This window comes from Homo sapiens, chromosome 2 (assembly GCF_000001405.40).
Source record: "Homo sapiens chromosome 2, GRCh38.p14 Primary Assembly".
Lineage (NCBI taxonomy): Eukaryota > Metazoa > Chordata > Mammalia > Primates > Hominidae > Homo > Homo sapiens.
In genome coordinates, this window is record NC_000002.12 from 60,381,351 (window position 1) to 60,392,136 (window position 10,786).

A 10,786-nucleotide genomic window follows, 5' to 3' on the forward strand; every position below is an offset into this window, starting at 1 on the left:
TGCACACAGAGTATTGTGAACAAAGGATGCTCACCCAAGCCTTTAGTGTCCAGAGTTTTCCTTGGGGCTTAGTCACATAATGTCCACATGGTTGACTTTCAGTCTCCAGCCCTCAGTGGAGGCTCAGGCCAATACCTTATGCCTCTAGTTCCCATGGAGGTTAGAACTGATATGGTGTGTCCCAAAGCCCCCATTATGAAACACACTATTGGACTGTCCAGTTGCCAAAGCCCCCAGACAAACAAAGACATCGGGCTGGACACTTCAGGGGCCTAGAGATTGCCTCCCAGGAGCCAAGGGCAAAGGCCAGACCCCTCTTTTGGTCAATTCTTCAGTACACAACTGTATATATAACACCAAAGTGCCACGACACAGATAAAAATAGAAAAAGATAGACAGAGGAGCAAGAGAATTAGAGAGAGAAAAAGAGATAATATCCACAATTTGAATTTTAGAGTGGAAATAAACTTCAAAAGAGCACGTGCCCTAGTACCTGGGTTCAAGCACATAACATATGAGACTGTACTGAGAGGGTCTAGAAAGGTTGTCCAAGATCCCATAGAGGTAGACTGGAAAAAAGTCTGTGATCCTGATTTTCGTTTTGTTTTTGTTTTTGTTTTTGTTTTTGTTTTTGTTTTTTGAGATGGAGTCTCTGTCGCCCAGGCTGGAGTGCAGTGGTGCAATCTCAGCTCACTGCAACCTCCGCCTCCCAGGTTCAAGCAATTCTCCCGCCTCAGCACCCCCTAGTAGCTGGGATTACAGGCGCACGCCGCCACGCCTATTTTTTGTATTTTTAGTAGAGAGGGGGTTTCACCATGTTTGCCAAGCTGGTCTCGAACTCCTGACCTCAGATGATCCACCCGCCTTTGCCTCCCAAAGTGCTAGGATTACAGACCTGAGCCACCGCACCCAACCTGATCCTTGATTTCTACTAAAAAAATCCATTCCCCTCTATCGTGATGCCACATATTCTCCCCTCCAAATCTCACTTGCCTATCCAAAATGTCGCATCAGTAGCCTGGGGTTTGCTGACACACACATCTCTCAATACACAGCATGTTCAATAGGCCCTCCTTTCCTGTGCCCCCTTTGAAGATTCCAGGCAGGATCTTATAGTGAGTGGTCTACTATCATCCAGTTTCTCAACTACTGAAGCCTGCGGGCTCACATCAAGAGCTCTGGGGATCCAATCCACTCCAGAGCATCTGGGGAAAAGCCACCTGCTCCTGGATTCTAGGTGTGGTTCCAGAAGGGACCACCATCTCTGCTAAGACACACACCATCCCTGCCAGGAGCATCTGTGCAGGGCCAGGACAACACCATGACAAGAGGAAGACTCAAGTCCTTACTCTGCCCCAACAAGCTCTTCCAGGTCTCCGGGTTTCCCTTTTATTCTTTGTGAAATGAAAGGCTTAGCTTAGAATCTTGATGCTCCAAGTGGGGTCCAATGACCAGCACAGGGCATTACCAGGGTGCTTTCTGGAAATGCAGACTTTCCAGCCCCACCTCAAGACTACCACATTTAGATCTGCATTTTGACAAGAACTCCAAGTGATTCCTGTGAGCATGAAAGTTTAAGAGACACCAACTTACAGCATCATCTCTAGGTCCTTCCCAAGACCTACACGCTGTGATTCTTGAAAGGCTCAATTTCCAAACCTCTGGATTGAGACATCTCTTAGAACTGGGGGAAGCCAAGCTTCTAATCAGGAGTGGTCAGAACGTGGAGTCACAGAAGGCGTCTGTGAAACCCAAAGCCCTTGGACAGGCAACGCTGGGACCGGGAAGCGGGCGGAGGAGAGCGGTTCATTTTTTCCATAGGCATGCTGTGTGTGCCAGCTGAGGTCTTTAATGTAAACCCTCCTGTGCTCCGACCTAAACAATGAGCGTAATTATGGGCTGTCTTACCCCCTTCAGACACAGGGATTGGGGTCGGCCCTCCACAGGGTCCTGCAGGAGGTCTTGTTTCTGAGTCAGGGGGGCCTCTGTTTAACCAGAGCAGACCCAACTCTGCGGGGCAAAGTTGACATACCAGCATAATTACACGTAGGTTGACCATATTTACTGCAACTCTGTTGTTCTAGAATTTCAAACAAAGGCTGAACCCTAGGAAAACACACCACTAAGAAGAAGCAGATTGTCCTGAGTGATTTATTGAAGAACAAAAGTGAGGGAAAGAAAAAGAAGAGAATTATCAGAGACTCACACATACTTCCCTTTCCTCCTGTCTGGCCTAAGGAGAACAACCAGTGACCACCGTGTTCCCTCCCTCCCCAACGGAAAGGCCTCAAAACACTGACATTTTGCTTTTTCAGAGACACGTCTTTATGCAGCCACATCAGATCCCAAAAATCCATCTAGACTCACTGGAAGAAAGCAGGCGGCGGCAGGGTCAGGGGGAGAGAGCTCTCCTCTTCCCTTCTGACTCACTTCACTCACTCCCCACTGCCCCCTCCATGACATGCACCTACATTTCATACAGATATTTTCCAAATGAACAGAAACCTAACCAAGGCTGGAATTTGGCTTTAGAGAAGCCAGAAGAACAGGTCAGGTATGTTACTATTCTTTTACTTTGGGAGGTGACTGGTAGGAAGGCTCTGAGTAAGAGCCAGAACTCTTTGGCCTCAGGTTTTTCCCATGTAAATTCATCACTGTGATGGAAAGCAGTGGCATTTCCAATGCGCAGCTGAGAACTTGCATTGACCCAGCAATTACAGGAAAGGGGCAGTTAGAAATCAGCAGAGTTAGGAAACAGCCCCTCACCCAAGAATTAAAACTTGCATACATATGATTTAGGTATTCCCAATAGATCAGGGCTAGAGGGATCTCAGAGTATTTGCTTGTAGTTGCCAACCCTGTCCCCCCCCCAAAACACACACACACACACACACACACACACACACACACACACTCTTACAATTATAGCTCCCTAGCCAAGGAAGACTTATCAATGCCTACCATATGCCTAACAAAGAGAAATAGGAGATAGGCTTCCCGTCCTTAGAGAGTTTATGACATCTCCGAAGAGACAAGATCAAGTGCGAAAGACAGATTGGAACACTACAAGAAGGAACCTAGCAAAGCTCCGAATTGCTTCTTGGGCAGAACCGAGTACCTGATAGACCATTGGGTACTGGGGTCACCTGGTAGGAAGCAGAGAGAGAATCATTTACCATGGAGTTACATGGTAGTTACCAGAAATTTGTTTTGTTTTCTTTTTTAAGTTGTTGTTAAAAATATTTTTCTCAGATATACTTACTGGCAGGGGAGATACCATGACCGCAAAGGTGGTTTTCCGAGGATGAGGCTTATCCATTTCACACTGGATGTGCTGACCCCCTGCAATTTCCCCAAATGTGGGAAACCTGACTGCATAATTTGTGGTAGTGGGGAACTGCATTCATGCTTTAAAAATAATAATAATAAAAATTTGTTTTAGAAAGTGCCCAAACCTTCATCCTTTCCTATCAAGAAGGAGAGGACTTCCCTGCCAGAGTTCCAAGGCAGGGTCATGAGATTCCTAATTCAAAGTCTCGTCAGGGTGGTCATCTGCTCTGCTCGTTGCCTAGTACTCAGAGAGATACATACTCCAGGGCCAGGTGGTGCCACGCAGATGACAAAATAACAAGTGATTGGGCTAATTAGCCTATTTACAATCATAAAATTGTGAAAGAACCTTTCGCAAAACTACAGATGTTTTTAGTGTTCAGAAAGTCTGAAAAAGAACACAGAATTGGGATAGGATTTGGATCCTACCAGATGTTCACAGAGGGAAAGTCCTGCTAAATGGAAAATTCCAAATGTGGCCAGTTAGAAACTCTGTGGGCTGAAAGCCCCTCTACAATCCTGGATAGTTCCTAGTGACATCACTTGAGGTCTCCAAGCCTGAGCAAAGGACAGGATCTGAGCCTAGATGCCCTAAGATGGGATGGGGCACCCTGGAAAGAACAAGGAGTGGAACTGTTCAGCAGTTCACCAGAGACTTATGTCAGCACCTTGACTCAGGCCAGGTGTATGATATCCCAGACAAAGAAGGGAGGTATAGAAGAAAAGCAATAGAAAATGTCCTAGACATTTACCAAACTGTCTACAAGAAGAGCAGCCTCCTCTTTCGTGGGCATCTTGCCCCCTAACTCTGATTTTGCAGTTCTAGCACAAAAAAAATCATAGTTACCCATCCTTCTGCCAGAGAAAAGGGCTCATGAACTGAACTGGACAGTTTCCCCCTCCCTCTGATTGGCCCAAGGATTGGCATGAGACTGAACAGGGAAACTAGGATTTTCCCCAACAGGAAAAAAAAAAAAAAAAAAAAGCATTTTATGCTCTGATCACATGAACCAATAAACACCCAGCCCTCCTTTCTTCTTAAGCTGGTCCCAGTGATAATTCTACCACGTACAACCAGTGGATTTGTGACTAATAAAGGAAATACGTGGAATTCTCACCAGTTGTCTTCTGGTTTGTATCAGACTCCTACCCTGTGGCTAGGTCCTAGAGGACACCCTCTGGCTCATAGCTAGAGGACACCCTCATAGCTCAAGGGTGATGAAACAGGAAAGTTGCAGAGTGGAGGGGGCAGGTTCCTGCTAGTGGTGACAGTGACATTGTCTAAGGCGTCGTGGCATTAGGCACTGCGCTAATGTGCCACCCAGCAAAGCTGGTGTTCTGCTCAGGGGCACTCTGTGAACAGAGCTGATGAGAACAGACTCTCTCTATGAGCCCCTCCAACTAAAAGCTGCCCCTACCACTCCCAGCCACCTGCTTTCCAGCAGAGCTGGCAGGAGAAGCTACAACCCACCACCCTTACACACCTCCGGCAAGCAATGAAAAGGGAGTCCAAGGTATCTGTCCGTCGAGAACATGAGAAACCTGCATTTTAATCCCACTTTTTACCAAAGATGGGAACTTGGTTAAGTAACAAAATCATTTGGACCTCTCTTTACTCATCTTTACAATGGGGATAGTGAAAGAACCTGGCTCCTCAGACTGTTTTAAGAATTAAGTGTGATAATGTATCAAAAGCATTCAGCACCATACCAGGCACGGTTGGGATTGTCATCATTATTACTGTGGCCAGTAGTATTAGGAAGTGCTCTGAAAATTGTACTCTGTGAAATAAGTCAGGATCTGACATTGTAAAATCAAAAAGGGCATTCTCCCTGGGAAATAGCTAGCAGCTCCTAGTGGCAAATTCCAGACTTGGGTCTATTTTTTGCCTTTATATACTTTCTCATTTATGTTTTGATTTATGAAAACGCATCCATCATTTTCTAAGGAAAGCCTCCAGGCACATGAACAAAAATGATAAAAATGCACAACAGAAACAAATAAAACCATTCGGCATGGCTAACAAGTCAGGCATTTGGCCCCAGAGGGGTAGATAAATCTAGAGCTGGGCTCAGCACTGGGACCCAAAGGTCAACAGGCTGGGACTTTGCTGAAGAAATAAAAGAAAGGGGATTCTGGAGCTTCAGCTAACAGCCTACCTCAGATCTTCTGAGAGCCTAGGAGTGAATCTTCCAGAGGCAGCCCCCGAAAGGGTCTCCAAGAGGCCAGTCCAGAAACCTGTGCAGAGCTGCCCTCTCTGCTCCTTCACTAGTCAGTGGGAGAACCAGCAGACTTCTCCAGCCACGCCAGGCACCCCGTTTACCCCCGTGAGGGAGAGGCCATCTTGGGGAAAGACACTCAGTTAAGAGAACTGGGGCTCCCTAGGAAACCTGTCAGTCATCCTTCTGTCTTTATCCCCTTACTCCAGAGGCATTGCTATGAGGGGACCCCCTACCCAAAGAATTTGCTTCAAAACTCAGCATTTCTAGCTTCCAATACAGATACCTCATTTTTGCTCGAGGCTGGGAACATGTGAGAGGAAAAGTGAGCAGGAATCCCAGCAGAATCAGGGAGGGATCCATAGGGGGTGAGATGGGTTAGGGCCCTCACTAGCAGAGCACAGGTGTCTTTGTAGAACCATGCTAGCCCACAATGGTTAACAGGGTCCATGATGGTTAACAAGGCATCTTGCAGAGTCTTTCCAAGGTGACATTCTAGGGGATGACACTCTAGAGGTGTCGCATTGGAACGGCTCTGCAAGATGCCTTTCTGCCCAGAGTCTGAGGGGATTCTCAGTTATAGACTGTTCTGGCCATAATCCACCAAACAAGGGGGTAATTCATAGGCTGCAAACAGGCCAAAAAGGTGGCCCAGTGTGAACATTAGGGCCCCACATGCCCAGTAGGGCTGCCCAAAACTAGATAACACCTGGCAGAGCCAATCAGATCTTCTATTGGGACATCTGACTGAGACATGGGGAGCTGTCGTCAAAGAGTAATGGTACATGTGACAGAACAGAAAAGAGTAGCCAGCACTCCAACTCCCCAACACGAGAGTGGACAAAAATGGACTTACATTTGTGGGGCAAAGCCCCTGTTAATAACAAGTATTCATAATAACAGTGTCCATGGAGCCACAGTTGACAACAATACTCATTGAGCATAACTTTTTGCCTGGCACTGTTAGGTCCTTGTGCACAGGATCTCACCGAAACTTGACAAGGAACCCCACATGGTCAGTGCTATTATTGTCACCACTGTATAGATGGTAGGAAACTGAGGCTAGAGAGGTGACACAGTGGTAAAGGGCAGAGTTGCAATGTGAACCCAGCAGTTTGATTATGGAACATGGGGTTTTATTTACTAGATTACACAAACTCCTGTCAAATCCTATATGGCCATGGACGATACTCCAGTTCTCGGTGAAGCCCAGCTGTGACTGCTGAGAAGATTTACTGTTCTTCCCCACCTCCCAGGGTGTCCTTCCAATAATCCTCCATCACCTAAAGCAATGGGATTACGCCATAGTCCCCTTAAACTGCAAGCATCTAACTAATACAGGGACACAAGTGTTCCAGAGAAGTGGCTAGTAACAGCAAAGAATGACAGACCCTCCAAATGAGGTTTGGTGGCTCCCTTTTACCCTTCTGAATCTTAAAGGAAGAAACACAAGCTGAGACATTCTGGACAGGTGGCTGGTGCTGGTGAAGTTGACCTCTTCATTTCCATCTTCAGGTCATTACAAGGGCCTTCCCTGAAGCCAACTAAATCCTTGGACAGAGAGGACCTGAGGCTGGTATTGCCCTGTGCTGCACAGTAGACAGCTCTTCTCCTGAGGAAGGGCTGCTGGCAAGGAGGGGCCAGTGACCCAGACCCAGTTAGTCAGACCCTCCCTAGTACAGTCTGCTGATGTCATTGAAGAAGGCCATGTCCTCTCATCTCAGCTGCTGGCCTATGAGCCTGGGGCTGCCTGCCTCATGGAAAGTGATAGGGGAGAGGGAGATAGAACAATCTGGGCCAGGCGCGGTGACTCACGCCTGTAATCCCAGCACTTTGAGAAGCTGAGGCAGATGGATCACTTGAGGTCATGAGTTCGAGACCAGCCTGACCAACATGGTGAAACCCCGTCTCTACTACAAATACCAAAATTTGCCGGGCATGGTGGCGCATGCCTGTAATCCAGCTACTAGGGAGGCTGAGGCAGGAGAATCACTTGAACCTGGGAGTCAGAAGTTGCAATGAGCTGAGATCGTGCCACTACACTCCAGCCTGGGCCACAGAATGAGACTCCATCTCAAAAAGAAAAGAAAAGAAGAGGAAAGGAGAAGAGAGGAGAGGAGAGAAGAGAGAAGAGAGGAAAGGAAAGGAAAGGAAAGGAAAGGAAAGGAAAGGAAAGGAAAGGAAAGGAAAGGAAAGGAAAGGAAAGGAAAGGAAAGGAAAGGAAAGGAAAGGAAAGGAAAGGAAAGGAAAGGAAAGGAAAGGAAAGGAAAGGAAAGGAAAGGAAAGGAAAGGAAACGAAACGAAAGGAAAGGAAAGGGGAGAGCTGTGGTGGCCCTCGTGCAGGACAGGAGATGAGGCAGTTGTGTGGCCAACCTGTAAAAGGAAAACACTTCCCACCTACTGCAAGGTGACTCAAGGTGGAGGTGCCAAAATTAGGGGAAAAGGCTTCCAGCCAAGCACAGAGGAAGGGTATGAAAGAACTTTCTAATAGCCTCAAAGCAAGATCACATGAAGATTCTGCAAGACTGCACGACATTTTTCTTTTTTCTTTTTTCTTTTTTTTTTTTTTTTGGAGACAGGGCCTCACTCTGTCACACAGACTGGAGTACAGTGGCACAATCACAGCTCCCTACAGCCTCAACCTCCCAGCCTCAAGCAATCCTGCCAGCTCAGCCTCCCAAGCAGCTAGGACCACAATGTATGTGCCATTATGCCTAATTTTTCTATTTCTTTTAGAGTCAGAGTGTCCCCACATTGCCCAGGCCAGTCTGGAACTCCTAATCTCAAGTGATCCACCCACCTTGGCCTCCCAAAGTGCTGGGATTACAGGTGTGAGCCACATAGCCCAGCCACAACATTTTTCCAGAAGACAAATGGACTAACCTCATATTGATCCTGGGACTATGAAAATAGGGCAGCCGGCAAGACTTGAGCCAAATATATAGACTCTACTTCATAAATGAAAACCTCCAAAAAGTCCAAATTTAGTATTTTTCATGCTCATGCAAAGGACAAGCTTCCTCCTCCATTGAAAGGAAAGGAAGGGAGAAGATTTACTACAGGGTGGCCAGAGCTTTTCCCTGGAATGGCCCAAAGTTGCTTCTCTGTCCCCAGACAACTTGGGTTTGAGCTCTAGGGGACCATATATAATATTTTCTAGGTCCCTGTGAGTACACCCTTGATGTACTGGAGACGGGAGGTCAGATTTGATTTACATTCACAGGCAAAATTGAAGTTAGAACTCACCCCAACTCAGCGGAAAGGAGACTGCGGGACAGTGAGGACTCAAGGAGTAACTGTGAGGCAGCTTAAGTGAACTTCACTCAGGGCACAGTAGGTTTTCTTGTTCTAAGTAAATATCTTAACAGTTTCCAGTTTTACAAATTTAAAAACAGCTAAAAATATGCACACTTATATTTTCTAGTTTTTGCAGATGATGCTGAGGCAAGTTAAGAGGGAACATGCTAACCACCAAAACCATCCTCATTTTCATGACTAGGTGGACAGGGAGGAACCGAGGCTTGTACTGCCCTGTGTTGCATAGTAGATAGCTCCTCTCCTGAGGCAGGGCTGCTAATGACCCAGGCCCAGTTAGCCAGACCCTCCCTGGTATAGTCTGCTGATGTCATTGAAAAAGGACATGACTTCTTATCTCAGCTGCTGGCCTGTGAGCTGGGGCTTCCTGCCTCACGGAAGGTGAGAGAGGGAGAGGGAGACAGAACCCTGGCAACCTGGGACGGGCACAGTGGCTCACACCTGTAATCCCAGCACTTTGGGAAGCCAAGGTGGGTGGATCACCTGAGGTCAGGAGTTCAAGACCAGCCGGGCCAACATGGTGAAACCCCGTCTCTGCTAAAAATACAAAAATTAGCCGGGCATAGTGGCACACGCCTGTAATCCAGCTACTTGGGAGGCTGAGGCAGGAAAATCCCATGAACCCAGGAGGCAGAGGTTGCAGTGAGCCAAGATTGCACCACTGAACTGGGAAACAGAGCGAGACTCCGTCTCAAAAAAAAAAAAAACCCTGACAACCTGGTGCCAACCCCTGGATCCAGCTGTTCCTGTATCCCATATTCCTCTGCACTTCCCAGTTACATGAGCCAATTATTCCCTTTTTGTTTATTATTAGTTTGAGTGTCTGTCACTTGTAACTTAAATAAGCCTGCCTACAAATTCTAGCCAAGGCATTCATCTTCTGGCAAGCCTCTATAAAGAACCTGTAGGTGCTGCTTTTGAACACGAAACTCCCTGCTTCATTTGATCACTGACTACCAGAGAATGCAAACTCTTGGACAACATGAGCACAGCAAGTATTTTATCCTCAGTCCCTCCCCTTCCTCTGACTGTCAGCCTTCAAACCCAATGCCAATCCCATCCCCACTTCCCCCTGACTCCACCATCATTACCATTGTCTCCCTTCTTCGTCTTTGTCAAAGTACCTCACCAGTGAAAGAAAAGTGACCTCTGCTTCAAAAATGAATAACTGCCACGAATGCGGAGAGCCACAGCAAAGGAAACCACGCCTCCTTTGATAAATACCATGCAGCTGCTGCTTGGTGATGATGGTCTCGCCCTGGTGGAGCATTCTAGGGTCAGATGTTTACAGAGAAAAGGCAGGCAGGTGCCAGTGCTTGAACATCAGGCCAAATCCCAGGTTTCCCCAGCCGTCACTCATTCTCATGCACAAAGTAGAGGCCCTGCAATTGCTTCCTAAGACTCAGTTTCCTTATAGGTAAGCTGGAAAACATTTAGTATTAACAAGCACCAGAGCTATGTCAAAGGAGAATCATCCAAAACATTGCTGAGCCTTGACGAAGATGAACAGCACTCAGGGGAAGAATTCTAGGTGGATCTTTGGGTAATAGGAACCCTGAAAACAGCAATGATCCAGTAGGTGACATGTAGGGCGTGCCCCTCGCCTTCCTGGACTGGTGCTCAGCATTCCACTTGTATGATCTCATTTAATCCCCACAACACACCCATGCGGTGGGAAATAATTATCATCTCCACTTTACAGAGGAGGCTCCTGAGTCTTCAAGAGAATGTGAGACTTGTCCACAGTCACTCAGTAGTGCAGCCACAGTGACCTTGAAGTCAGGCCCGGTGTCTGGCCTTTGTGACCATGCCATCCCAGGGATGTAAAAGAACTCAACAGTTGCTCAGAATACCCCTTTTACCATCTCAACGACATGGGCAATCAAGGACTGCCTTGCTTCCTGCCGGGTTCCTGAGTGAAT

General features: G+C 47.2%; 1 long non-coding RNA gene, 1 other non-coding gene and 1 pseudogene across 3 annotated transcripts in view; 1 reads left to right on the plus strand and 2 right to left on the minus strand.

Moving 5' to 3' along the window:
* MIR4432HG (MIR4432 host gene) overlaps positions 1 to 10,025 on the minus strand; it is a 32,160-nt gene extending 22,135 nt beyond the window's left edge. Inside the window, exon 1 of one of the 2 annotated variants that reach the window (NR_132992.1) lies at positions 9,956 to 10,025. This is a non-coding gene — a long non-coding RNA (MIR4432 host gene). Of the gene's footprint in view, positions 1 to 1,593; positions 1,687 to 9,955 lie in introns of those variants that run through there. The other variant, NR_132991.1, reaches the window with a different exon arrangement.
* RNU1-32P (RNA, U1 small nuclear 32, pseudogene) lies at positions 3,255 to 3,413 on the plus strand (annotated as a pseudogene).
* On the minus strand, positions 6,012 to 6,095 carry MIR4432 (microRNA 4432). Its single transcript, NR_039631.1, has one exon. It is a non-coding gene; the product is annotated as a microRNA 4432 (primary transcript).
* Positions 10,026 to 10,786: the final 761 nt, after the last annotated feature.